Consider the following 14,567-nt stretch of genomic DNA (forward strand, 5'->3'; position numbering starts at 1 on the left):
CTCAGCAGACTTCAGAGAGAGAGAAGGTTGTAAAATGTTTCTTATTAGACCTAAAAGAGTGCCTGGCTCTTAGTCGATTAATCTCCTGGATCTGGAAAGGAAAGAAGGAAAACAAAGGGAAAAGGGGATTCTCTATAGAATGTGGATGTTTTTTCCCCACAGGAGACTTTGCACGGCAAATTTCAAGGTATGGCAAGGAAATATATTTTGGGGCTAAATATTTTTTCCTTGTCTCATAATGTTATGCCAGAGTCAGATTGAAAAGTAAGTCACGATATATAGCGTCAAATAAAACCCATCTGATGAGAATTTATGGTTTGTAGGGCATGACTTCCTAGACCCCTTAGGTAGGAGTTTGGGCAAGTTAAAAAATCAGAGCTAAGTCCTCACATGGCTTTTAAAAATTGTGAATAAGTAATACTTCCATAAATTCTGATTTAATTACGAATCCCACTAATTTCTTTTTTTTCTTTCCCAGGGACAGCCACTGCAAAGGGTTAAATGTATATTCTTCCAGTCTAGCTTTTATATTTTTATGAGGATGGGGAGATAGACAGATAGGTATATAGTTCAGTGTTTCTCAAAGTGTGGTCTTTAGACCAGCAGCATCAGCGTCACCTGGAAATTTGTGAGAAATGCCAGTTCTTAGTTTCTAACTAAATACTTAGTTTCTCACTAAAAACAGCCATTTTTATTAAGTCCTTCAGGTGATTGTGATGCACATTGAAGTTTGAGAACCATTGTTCATCTAGGTCATTGTCTTTAACTGCTGTATGGTGTTCCCTAAATTGAATATACCATTTTTTAAAAAAGAGACTAAGTCTTGCTATTATGTTGCCCAGGCTGGTCTCAAACTTCTGGGCTTATGCGATCTTCTTCCACCTCAGCCTTCAGATAGCTGCAACTATAAGCATGCACCACCGCACCCAGCTTGAATGTACCATATTTTAAATTCCATATTGTCAAGCATTTAAGTTACTTTTCTTTAAAAAATTAACGTTATTGCAAAGGAAACAATTGGCAGAGTGAAAAGACAACCTACAGGATGGGAGAAAATATTTGCAAAGTATGTATCCAGCAGAGGATTAATATCCAGAATATACAAGGAACTCTGATATCTCAACAGCAAAAAACAAAACAAAACAAAACAAAACAACAACAAAAAATTTAAAAATGGGCAAAGGACCTGAATAGACATTTCTTAAAAGAAGACAGACACATGACCAACAGATATATTTTTTAAAAAAGCTCAACATCACTAGTCATCAGGGAAATGCAAATCAAAACCACAGTGAGATATCATCTCACCCCGGTTAGAATGGCTACTATCAAAAAGACAAAAAATAGCAAATGCTGGCAAAGGTGTGGAGATAAGTGAACTCTTAAATGTGGCTAGTGGGAATGTAAACTAGTACAGCCACTATGGAGAACAGTGTGAAGGTTCCTCAAAAAACTGCAAATAGAACTACCATGTGATCCAACAATTCATTACTGGACGTTTATCCAAAGGAAGGGAAATCAGTATATTGAAGAGACATCTGTACTCCCATGTTTATTGCAGCACTATTCACAATAGCCAAGATATGGAATCATCCTAAGTATCTAACAACAGATGAATGCGTAAAGAAAATATGGTATATATACACAATGGAATAGTATTCAGCCATAAAAAAGAATGAAATTCTGTATTTTGAGGCACGTGGATTGAATTGGAGGACATTATATTAAGTGAAATAAGCCAGGGACAGAACATTAAACACTGAGTGTTCTCATTCATATGTGGAAGCTAAAAAAAAGTTGATCTCAGAAGTAAAAAGTAGAACAGAATACTACAGGCTGGGAAGGATAGGGTGCGGGGAGGGTAGGGAACGATTTGTTAAAGGATTCAAAATTACAACTAGATAGGAAGAGTAAGTTCTAGTGTTGTATACCACTGTAAGATGGCTGTAATTAACAATATGTTACAAAGTTTCAAAGAGCTAGGAGGAGGATGTTGAATGTTCCCAGCACAAAGAAATGATAAGAGATGATGGGTATGCTAATTACCTTGATTTGATCTCTGTATAGCTATGAAAATGTTACTATGTTCTTCATAAATATTAATACATCAAAAAATTTAAAATTAATAATTAACAAAAGATAAAGGGCCCTGAACTCTAGTTTTAGAGCTGAATTGTATCCAGTCAGATAGTTTCTATGTTATTTAAATGTTCACTTTAAATTTGGAGCTGAAATATATTTGGAAATCTTTACTTTTAGTATGTTCATTTGTGTGTGTGAGGTAAACTTGGTTGGCTATTGGCAAATGTATTGGGTAGCTGCTTAATAAAACATTTCCTTCCAGTGCTTCAGCTTTCTGATGCTTAGAAAATATGTATAATTAACATAATATGCATTATCACTTTTGAAAGTAACTAATTATTCGAACAGTTATTTGTGCCAAATTAGTAATGTGAATTTGGGAACTATCAGTCTTTTCTATGGCCCGGAATAATTTAAATAATAGAAATTATCTGATTAGATAGAAATCATTGTAAAATCATCAAGGTTAGGATTTCCTTTGACTTTTGCTTATCATTAGTTTTAAAGAAAAAAAATAAATTGACATAATGGAAATTTTCACTGTACATCAGGAAGGGAATTCAGTGGAAAAGTAAGCTTCCTATTCACTCTTGACCTTCAGTTTATACTTTTTTTCCTAAGTCAAGTACTGCTACTGGTTTCTTATGCTCTTTCTAGAACTAGCCTGTTTATTGTCTATTTAAAATAACTCATTAATCACCTTTTATTTGAGCTCCCTTATGGATCTGTGTAGTTTTTCTGTCTCTTTAAAATTTTGTATGCGGTAAAATGCACGTAACATCAAATTTACCATCTTAGCCATTTTTAAGCATACAGTTTAGTAGCACTATCTTTCACATCGTTGTGCAATCAATCTCCAAAACCTGTTCATCTTCCAAAACAAATTCTGTATCTATTAAACAGCTCTCCGTTCTTCCCTACCCTCAACTCCTGGCAACCGTCCTTTTACTTTCTGTCTCTCTGAATTTGACTACCTCATATAAGTGGACTCATACAGTATTTGTCTTTTTGACATGGGCTTATTTTACTTAGCATAATGTCCTCCAGTTCCATTCATGTTGCCTTGAAAGACAGGATTTCATTCTTTTTTTTTTATGGCTGAAATAGTATTCATCCATGTTGTAGCATGTCAGGATTTCCTTCCTCTTTAAGGCTGAGTGATATATTCCATTGTATATATATACCAACATTTTATTTATCTAAATTCATCTGCCAATGGATTTTTCAGTTGTTTCCACCTTTTGGCTATTATAAATAATGCTACTGTGAACATGGGTGTACAAATAACTTCAAGACCCTGCTTTTAATTCTTCTGAATATATATCCAGAAGTGTAATTTCTGGATCATATGGTTATTTTATTTTTGATTTTTTGAAGAATTTCTGTTGTTTTTAAAGTCACTTTTGATGGTTTGTTCTTTGCTAGAAAATATATATTTCAGTTTTATCAGTGCAGAGTTGTATATAATACTTACATATTTTGTACAATTATATAAAGGTTATATTATATTTCCATATTCTCATATAATTATCTTTAGTATCCATGTTTGTAACTGTTTACTCATTTCTCTTTCCTCATTCACGTTTACTATTTTATTGGTCTTTAAAACCTAGGCTTTGATTTTGTTTCCTAGCATTTAAATTTTTCTGTTTCATTAATTTTAGCTTTCATTTTATTTATACTGTTATTTCTTGAGGCAATGGCTTGGTTCATCTATTTTCAGTTTTTAAAAAAACTGTAAAGTATTTGTAAGGCTCTAAATTTTATTTTATTTTTTAGTTATAGGAATTTTTAATATATTCTGGTTATTCACCCCTTATGAGATACATTATTTGCAAGTATTTTCTCCCACTCTGTGGATTGTTGTTTCATCTTCTTGATAGTGTCGTTTGATACACAAAAGTTTTTATTTTGATGAAATCCAGTTTATCTGTTTTTTCTTTTGTTGCCTGTGCTTTTTTGGTATCATATACAAGAAATCTTTGCCAAATCCAATGTTGAAAATATTTTTTTTTCCTATATTTTCTTATAGGAGTTTTATAGCTTTACTGTTAAGTTTTGGTCTTTGATCTATTTTGAGTTAATTTTTGTATATGATGTAAGAAAAGGGTCCATCTTCATTCTTTTGCATGTGGATAATCAGTTTTCCTAGCATCATTTGTTGAAAAGACCATCCTTTCTCTATTGAATGGTCTTAGCATCTTTGTCAAAAATTGGTCATATGTGTGAGGGTTTCTTTCTAGGCTCTCTATTCCATTGGTCTGTATGACTGTGCTTATGCTAGTACCACATTGTTTTGATTACTGTAGCTTTGTAGTAAGTTTTCAAATAAGAAAGTGTGAGTTCTCCAACTTTATTCTTTTTCAAGATAGTTTTGACTATTATGCGGCTCTTTGAGATTCCATATGAATTTTAGGATGGGTTTTTCCTTTTTTTTTTTGAGATGGAGTCTCGCTCTGTTGCCCAGGCTGGAGTACAGTGGCGCGATCTCGGCTCACTACAAGCTCCGCCTCCCAGGGTCACGCCATTCTACTGCCTCAGCCTCCCAAGTATCTGGGACTACAGGGACCCGCCACCATGCCCAGCTAATTTTTTTTGTATTTTTAGTAGAAACGGGGTTTCACCATGTTAGCCAGGATGGTCTCCATCTCCTGACCTCGTGATCTGCCCGCCTCGACCTCCCAAAGTGCTGGGATTACAGGCGTGAGCCACCGCGCCTGGCTTTTTTTTTTTTTTTTTTTGCAAAAAATACCATTGGGATTTTGATAGGGATTGCATTGAATCTGTATATTGCTTTGGGTAATATTGTTACCTTAACAATCTAGGAACGTGAGATATCTTTCCATTTATTTATGTTTAATTTCTTTCAGCAATGTTTTGTAGTTTTTTATTAAGTTTTTCACCTCCCTGATTAATTCCTATGTATTTTATTTTGGATGCTATCGTAAGTGGAATTGTTTTCTTAATTTCCTTTTTGTATTTTTCATTGCTAATGTATAGAAATCCAGCTGATTTTTGTGTGCTGATTTTGTATTCTGTGACTTTGAATTTATTAGCTCTAACAGCTTGTTTTTGGTGTGTATGTGTCATCTTTAGGGATTTCTACATATATATCATCTGTGAATAGACATAGTTTTGCTTCTTTCTGTCCAAATTCAATGAATTTTCCATCTTTTTCTTGCCTACTTGCTCTGTCCGGAATTTCTAGTATTATGCCAAATAGAAGAAGAAAAAGTGGGCATCCTCATCCTGTTCCTGATCTTAGGGGAAAAACGTTCAATCTTTCACTATTGAGTATGTTGTTAGCTATTGGTTTTTAATACATGGCTTTTACGATGTTGAGGAAATTTCCTTCTATTCCTAGCTTGAGTGTTTTTTTATCATAACAGGTGTTGAACTTTGTCAAGTGGTTTCTCTGTATTGATTCAGATGATCATGTGGAGTTTCTTCTTCATTCTATTAATGTGGTATATTACATTGATTTTTTCATTGTTGAATCATCTTGTGCTCCTGGAGTAAGTTTCACTTGGTCATGGTGTGTCATCCTTTTAATAGGCTGCTGATTTTGTTGAGTTTTTCATCAGTATTCCTAGGGTGTATTAGTCTGTAGTTTTCCTGTAGTATTTTTGTCTGGCTTTGGTATCGGTAATGTTGGACCATAGAACTAATGAAGAGAAGTGTTCCCTTCTCTTTAATATTCTGGAAGTGTTTGAGAAGCATTCTTTAAATGTTGGGTGGAATCAACCAGTGAAAGCTATCTGGTCCTAGCCTTTTCTTTGGGAGCTTTGTGATTACTGATTAATCCCTTTACTAGTTATAGTTCTATTTAGATTTTCTATTTCCTCATGAGTTAGTTTCGGTAGACTGTGTGTTTGTAGAAATTTGTCCATTTTGTCCAGGTTATCCAAATTGTTGGCATACAGTTTTACATAGTATCGTCTCATAATTCTTTTTATTTTTGCAAAATCAGTAGTGTCACCACTTTTTTTGTTGTTGTTGAGGGGGTGGGGGGGATAGAGTCTTGCTCTTTCGCACAGGCTGGAGTGCAGTGACAAGATCTTGGCTCACTGCAACCTCTGCCTCCTGGGTTCAAGTGATTCTCCTGCTTCAGCTTCCCTAGTAGCTGGGACTACAGGCATGCACCACCATGCCTGTGTAATTTTTGTCTTCTTTACAGTAGAGATGGGGGTTTTACCATGTTGATCAGGCTGGTCTTAAACTCCTGACCTCAAGTGATTCGCCTGCTTTGGCTTCCCAAAGTGCTGGGATTACAGGCATGAGCCACTGCATCTGGCCGTGTCACCACTTTCATATCTGACTTTAGTAATTTGGTGTTCTTTCTCTCTGTCTCTCTTTTATTTATTTATTTTTTTGTTAACCTATCTAGCTAGAGTTTTGTTGACTTTTTCAAAGAATCAGCTTCTGGTTTTGTAATTTTTCTCCATTGTTTTTCTGTTCTCTCTTTTCACTCTAATTTTTATTATTTTCTTTCTTCTGCTAGCTTTGGTGTAGTTTACTCTTTTTCTAGTTCCTTGAGGTATATGGTTAGGTTATTGAATGAGAACTTTCTTATTTTTTGATGTCAGTGTTTACAGGTTTACATTTTTCTTTTAGCTCTGCATTCACTGCATCCTATAAGTTTTAGTATGTTGTGTTTTCGTTTTCATTTATCTCACGTTGGTTTCTAATTTCCTTTGTGATTTTTTCCTTTGATCTATTAGTTAACATTCACAAATTTTCACATATTTGTGAATTTTTTAGTTTTTTTATCTGCTGTTGGTTTTTCATTTCCATTATGATCACAAAACATACTTTGTATGATTTCAGTTTCTTTAAATGTATTAAGACTTATTTTGTAGCCTAACATAGGTCTGTTTTGGAGAATGTTCCATGTACACTTGAGAAGAATATATTGTGCTGGTGTTGGGTGAGTTTAGTTTTTGACATGTTACATTTGAGCATTCATTTAGGAGAAAAGCCAAAGGAAGACATTTGTTAATGAACTGTAAAGAGGGGTTGACATCACAAGAATAGGTAATTTTTTTTGAGAAACAAATTTAGAGCAACAGAACAGCCTTGAATATATTCTTATTTAGAAGGCTGAAGGTTGAATATAACCTGGAGTGTTAGAAAAGGGTGGAACAGTTTATCATAGACCAGAGCCAAGAAAGTATAATATTTAGACTTTAAATATCAAAAAGAAGATATGGTCAGCTGAATTCAAAGTTGAAGGCTAGGTGTGGTGGCTCATGCCTGTAATTCTAGCACTTTGGGAGGCTGAGGCAGAAGGATCACTTGAGCCCAGGGGTTCAAGACCAGCTTGGCCAACATGGTGAAATCCTGTCTCTACTAAAAATACAAAAATTAGCCAGGCATGGTGGCAGGCGCCTGTAAACCCAGCTACTCTGGAGGCTGAGGCGGGAGAATCGCTTGACCCTGGGAGGCAGAGGTTGCAATGAGCCAAGATCGTGCCTTTGTACTCCAGCCTGGGCAACAGAGGAAGACACCATCTTGGGAAAAAAAAAAAAAAGAAGTTCAGAAAACAGCTTGTTTGGGAAGGACTGTTTTTTGTATTCCTTTAATAATTCAATAAAGAAAATAGAAAAAGGATTTTTTTTAAATTTGAGAAACATTTAAATGATGACCACTACTTAAATTATGAAATTGAAAACCACAAATATAAATTATGCATTCTTTATAGTATGAGTTTTAGAGGCTGTTAATTTGCTATAATATTAGCTACATCTGGAATAGAAGAAACTTCATATATTATCTTATCGCTATATTTGAATTCTGTAGAAGTTATTTCTGGACAGTCTACGAAAAGCTCTTGCTGGCCATGGAGGAAGTAGGCAGCTGACAGAAAGTGCTGCAATTGCCTGTGTCAAACTGTGTAAAGCAAGTACTTACATCAATTGGGAAGATAACTCTGTCATTTTCCTACTTGTTCAGTCCATGGTGGTTGATCTTAAGGTAACATGCTTATTCTTTCTCTACTACAAACTTTAAGAAAATTAAATGAATTTTCTAGCATAAGTATTATGTCAAAGATAATTGCTAACATTAAAGTTCTGACTCTTCGTTGATAAGTTCATAGGACTTGCTTTTGTTGTTACTGTGTTCATCAGCCTAAATGGACTGAGAATATGAAGAAAACACCATTTTCTTAAATAAGCATAAATATACAGACTTGGGTTTAAAATAATGTGGCAATTAGGGCCTGAAATGAACCTATATATGGTATAGGAAGAATTGTATCAGACTGATGAACCACAGTATGGGTGCTTTGTGCTTCTTCTGGCAGCTGGATTTTACTGCCATTTGTGTGGGTAATGTGTTGATGTTATTACATGTTAGTAAAGAAATACTGCATGGGTATTTAAAGGCTTTTGTTTTCTGTTGGGGTTTTTATAGAACCTGCTTTTTAATCCAAGTAAGCCATTCTCAAGAGGCAGTCAGCCTGCAGATGTGGATCTAATGATTGACTGCCTTGTTTCTTGCTTTCGTATAAGCCCTCACAACAACCAACACTTTAAGGTGAGAGCATTGGTTTTTATCTAACTATATTTACTGATGCTGTTATCCTTTATAAACAAAAAGACTATAGAGATTAATAGGTTCACTTTTATCGGTATTTCTCACTATTATGTATTGATGTTCGTTTCAAGACCTTAAAAACTTAGTGTTTTTTTTTTAAACTTTCTATTTGCTGTTCTTTTTGGCTTCATTTGTATTACTGAGTATTTTTCTCATAGAAATAATCTGCTTTTTTTTTTCTTTTTCTATAGATCTGCCTGGCTCAGAATTCACCTTCTACATTTCACTATGTGCTGGTAAATTCACTCCATCGAATCATCACCAATGTAAGTCCAAAAGGTATTGCTAAATTACTAAAAAAATTTTTTTCTTTCTTTTCTTTGCGTATTTCTTTTTAAGAAATGCACTCTTGGTTTTCAAAAAGGTTCTGAATTTAGATGTATGAAATAGGAAAATTTCTCCATGGTGATTCTATTTGATAATTGATAAATATTTGTATTTTTCATATTAAGTCTTGACCGAAGGGACCATATTAAGGAAGATGGAGTTAATAAGATGCTTTGGAAAGATTAAATCTAAAACGTTTTATTCAGATCAGAAGCCCTTGAGAAAAATGTCACTGAAAATACAGTTTAAAATTTTCATCCCGAAGCTTTTCAAACATATTATTTCAGCATTTGATACATTGACTTGCCACCTTACCATTTAAGTTAAAAGTAATAGTATTTATGTTGTAGTCTAGTATAGCACATTGACAAAATGATGGGACTATATTTGATGGTACTTTTAAATCTTTTGATCCTAAATTCATTCATAGTGTAAAATTTCATTTTTCTTAAACAAAATGAAATATTAACATACTTTAAAGTAGGTATTAACAAGATACAAAAGCATATCAGACAAAGTAAGTGAAATCATTAAAAGGTACTTGCGAAACCTTCAACTCTGTCTGATGTGGAGACATTAAATAGACAGCAAAACTATCAGATTTGGACTGTGGATTTTTAAAATTCTGTTCTTGTAATAATGAACAACCCTATTTTGAAAGTTTTCAAGTGTTATTTTCCATTGTTCCACTTTTATCAAATGATACTCACATTTATGGGTAAATTGGTTGATGCTTTCCTTCCTTAAAGGAGGCTGTAATCATTGATAACTTAGTATATTTGACCTGTTTATAATCAAATTCCATTTTAAGACTGTGCCTCTGGTGAGTTGAAAATAACCCTTCACCTCATTTGCCCTGGATGTTGTATTTATTTAAAATAAATACTGCCCATATTCTATCCATTCCTGCAGTGGAAAATTAACTATTGATAAAGCTATTTGGTGATACATTTAATTTTTCTCAGCAGGTGTTTAGTGAGCATTTTGGGAGGACAGTCCTTTGTTGTGCAGGATGCCTTGGGCATTGCAGGACCTTTAAGATCGTCTGGCCTCATTTCATTAAATGCCAGTTGTGCTGCATCTCCCCATCCCTAGTCATTATGAACAAATAAACATGCCTGAGGGAATGATACCTCCTCCCTTAGTTGAGTATCACTGAGTTAAATTGTAGGTAAAAGTAACATTGAATATGCTTTGTTCCAAAAGGGAAAGTTTAATGAAGATTGTAAATAAGGTATGTTTGTATTAAAAACTTAAAAAAAATCACTGTACTTTTGTCAGCGTAATGAGCCAGGGCATTGTACCTTCAAGGTTTACTTTCAAGGCCATTAAAACAAAAAGATGATTTCTCCCCTCAAGTTTATGTGTAACTCAGAAATAAGTCATTATTGCTTTTTTCCGCTGTGGCTCAGAACACTAAAAATATTCAAAGAGTGGATAGCTTTGCATAAATGCTTAAAATTTGTATACAATAAACCCAAATATATACTTTTTTGATACTTTGTGGCTAGTTACTTTAATTGTGAAATATTTTTGTCTACAACTGACTACATAGAGCACTTTCAAGCATGGACTTGGCACTGCTGTAAGTGGCTGAGCTGCTCCTTTCTGGGTTCCAAGCATGCCTGGAGTGGTGCTTCATGCATGCCTCAGTGTACTTGGTGAAAGTGGCTGTGCATCCTCTTCTACTCTAATGAGCACTGCATGTGTGGAGGGTGGAGTGTGTCTGTATCAGAGATCAAGTTATATGAAAATCTGTTTTTATAAAGAAAAAAACTACATTGAATAATTTTTAAACATTAAGTATCAGTAACTTTTCAATGAAATAGCTTGAAAAGGAACATAAATATTAGTTCAAAGTATCTTTTTAAATTATGCTTTGGGTAGTGATACTTTATTATTATAGATAGTGTGGGAAATTGTTTCTCGTTAGGATATTTTCCCCCTTGGTTTGAGGCTAATCGCTATTGAATCTGAAGTACTCTTTTGGTTGAAAAGGACTATTTATAAAGTGAATATAGAAATTTATGAGATTGACTATTTTAGAGTTTCATTTGAAGACATTTATTATGGCAATATTTTTGTCTTGAAAAATCACATGAAATTATTCTTAGATATTTGGACTTCTGATCTTAAATTCATTCGTAGTGTAAATTTTTTTTCTAATGATTCTTGGTTCAATGTACCTCATAAGTTCTCTTCTCCCATGGTTCTTTAGCCAGTCCACACATTTTTTTTAAAGCATCACATTCTCAAATAAGATAAAAGTTTTAGTGATGTGTATTGAGGGTTTGTGTAGAAGTAGTAAGGTGTTTGGAGTTCTACTTTTGTGAAACATACTCATACTCAGTTCATAAGTACTGAGTTTAGATCTAAAATATTCTAGTGTTTCTTCTTAGAAAATCTAAAATATATCCACTATTTGATTCTTATTATAATGCAGGTTCCTAGCAGTTACTAAAATAGTAGTTGTACTGTCATCTTTTTTATTATGATGTGCCATAAGAGATGAATTAATAGTTGTAAGATCTATGTTATATGCATAATCTTCATAGACTTCCTTTAGGTTAAATTAGATATGTAATTGGGAAATTTAAAAAGTAATATACACACTTATGAACCAATTATCTTAGCCATCACTGGTACATGCTATAGCTGGTATATTACTTATTTCTGTTTTTTCCTTACGACAATTTATCGTAATTTACATATGGATAGTTCACATACTGAAAATGAGATGATTGCTTTCTACTGAGAGGTTGTAGTTGAAAGGAATTGTTTCCAAGGCATTTGAAAATTATTTAAATCTCTTAAGGAATTGCCACATAATTTGTTCATATTATGTAAGTGTTGCCATTTGGCTATAAACATGGTATTTTCAAGGAAAAAAAGAGTAAGTCTACTTTAATTGACTGGTGTTCAGGAAGGGCACATTTAGTAACTGCTCAAAATACTAAACTTTTTTGCCAACCACATGATGTCTAGTTTTTCATACTTATTTTATTTGAAAATGTGTATTTTACTTTAAAATGAATATATTATGAAAAATGAAAACTATGAAAATTACTAAATCTTAAGCCTAAAGTTATTTTATGTGGTGCACCTGGTACCACAATACGGTTTCAAAAGCTATTAAAAAAAGACACAGTAATTTGAATAGGATGTTATATGGGATGCCTTTCTTAGTTTATCAGTTTCTGACAAGATCTTACGAGATGTGTTGGGTAAGGAAGACCCTTCACTCAATGTACTTTGTTATTATTCAGCTTTTTGTTACTTTAGGCTGATTAACACAAGCTGTATAATTTAGTAAGTATAAGGAAATCAAGTTGCATTGGTTGCTTTGGGCAAGTCAAAATTGCTGAGAGTTGGAGGAATCCATTATACTATCAGACTAAAAATTGATCATTTGTAGAAACTAGATTAAATAAAGTAGGAGTTGAGGGAAAAATGTAAACAACCATACTGTCCCAAAAAAGCATTTCTTCCCTCCCAGTTTTGGGATTCCTCCCTGAATGGAGTTCAGTATTCAAAATGTGTATCATAAGTTGGTTTTATATTTTACTATCCGGCGAACAGGATTTGTAATCCACAGTTTGGGTTAAGGTAATATAACTCGATGCTATTCAAAATATTCTGAGAATTCCAAGTGAAGAAATTAAAATGTCGAGACTTCAATTAGCTTAGTTTTGAATAAGAAAAAATCTGGGACTGAAATGTGAGAGATGTGAGGCTATTCAATCCCTCTTATCTACAATTTGAATGTATTATTCTTCCAGATTTTTTAAATAAACATCTGGAGTATTATAAATTAGAAGCCTACATTTTAGGTCATTTAATGCATAGTCTACATATGTAGTGAAAATTCATCCAGTCAGTTTTTTATTAAATGATAGACTTTAAAGATATAGTGATTTTCACAATTGTCATTTTTTAATAATATATCAAGTAATTCATTTTAAAGTTAAAGATACACTTCCAAATAAAATAGGCACTAAAAACTAGACATCAGAGTTAAACAGGGTAAATTGAAATAGAAAATACATAAAATAATTGTTTAAAAAATATTTCACTAGGATCAGTTTGTCTTTGTTTATGGTAATTGTTAGTCTCCCATATATCATGTCATCATTGCATATCAATTTATAGGTTTACTTAATAGTTTTATTTCATTTACTAATTTCATGTTGTAATTATCATTGTTGTCTGTAAACATATAAGTAATGGTTTTCCACATACACTTTTAATACTGTGTTGAACCACTAATCACTTTTAAAGCTTTGATAATAGCATTCTTACCTGGGAAAATATATGCCATGTATGCACGTGTGCCAGAAATTGTAAAACATTAAACTTAAAAAAAAAAAAAGAAGATTGGCTACAGATTAGCTCTCTGAAGACTTTATTTTTCAAATTCACTGGCTAATCATCGAGAAAAGATGTCTCACATGCACATGCTCATAAAGTGGGCAATTTGTCTCATGCTCACTATTATGTTTTATAATATAATATGTATGAGTTAGTGTTTGAATTAAAGACGTTGTTTGAAGACTTTGGAAATCATGGTGTGTGTTTGCATGGTCTTAGAAAGTTCCCGACAAAAGGATAAAACTTAAAACTACAGTGATAAACAGAGCATACAACTCACGTAATTTTGTACTTTTTCTTCCTATTGGTCTTTGTTTTTCTCTAGTCCGCATTGGATTGGTGGCCTAAGATTGATGCTGTGTATTGTCACTCGGTTGAACTTCGAAATATGTTTGGTGAAACACTTCATAAAGCAGTGCAAGGTTGTGGAGCACACCCAGCAATACGAATGGCACCGGTAAGATAAATCACGAATTTTGAATCTCACCTCCTTTCTATTGCATTTTTTTTAGTGTCTTTATCCTATTCCTGCTGCTTTGGTTATTTTAGAGAATTGAATGGGTCCTTCATTTCCTCTAAATGTTGTGGTATGTTGTATCTAGAATATTGTTGAATACTAGATTATGTTTGTTTTCCACTGTTTCCATGAGTTGAACTTAACTTTTCTTAGATAAATTTTCTCACAAAACACTGAAAGTCTTAATGAATGTCACCTTTTTTTTCTGTTTTTAAAGTTTTTTTTCTCCTTAAAACTTTTGAACAAAAATATTTTGATTAGCCTCTCACGTTTTGGGGATGAGTAAGGGAAGCTGACTCCTGGGTTAGAGTGAATGTTGCTGCCAATGCACATTTTAGCTAATTGAATGGTGACTATTAAACATAGGAAATGAATAAAATTTAGAGTTTTTGTATTTAAAATAAAAATATTTTGTATTTCAACAAATATGCCTTGAGGTTTTACAACTGATAGGAACTTTGATACTGACATTTGACTCTAAACTTAATAAAAAGCAGACTTAAAATTGGGTATTCTCACAGATTATTACTCTTAATATGGAATTTTAAAACTCCTATGGAATCAATTTAAAAAGATAATTATAAGATTGTGGAAGTCATTTTTTTGGTGTTTATGTATAGCAAGAGTATTATACAAGAGCAACTCTTGACATTGATTGGTGGTGCTTTGTCTTCTG

General features: G+C 33.2%; 1 protein-coding gene across 3 annotated transcripts in view; it reads left to right on the forward strand.

Annotated features, from left to right (window-relative positions):
• Window positions 1-14,567, forward strand: part of NF1 (neurofibromin 1) — a 282,699-nt gene that overhangs the window by 97,564 nt on the left and 170,568 nt on the right. For all 3 annotated transcript variants that reach the window (NM_001042492.3, NM_000267.4, NM_001128147.3), the window contains exons 9-12: window positions 7,882-8,055; window positions 8,497-8,619; window positions 8,871-8,945; window positions 13,700-13,831. In NM_001042492.3, the coding sequence (NP_001035957.1) occupies window positions 7,882-8,055; window positions 8,497-8,619; window positions 8,871-8,945; window positions 13,700-13,831 (504 nt within the window). The remainder of the gene's footprint in view (window positions 1-7,881; window positions 8,056-8,496; window positions 8,620-8,870; window positions 8,946-13,699; window positions 13,832-14,567) is intronic.

The sequence above is a fragment of the Homo sapiens genome, chromosome 17, assembly GCF_000001405.40.
Source record: "Homo sapiens chromosome 17, GRCh38.p14 Primary Assembly".
Lineage (NCBI taxonomy): Eukaryota > Metazoa > Chordata > Mammalia > Primates > Hominidae > Homo > Homo sapiens.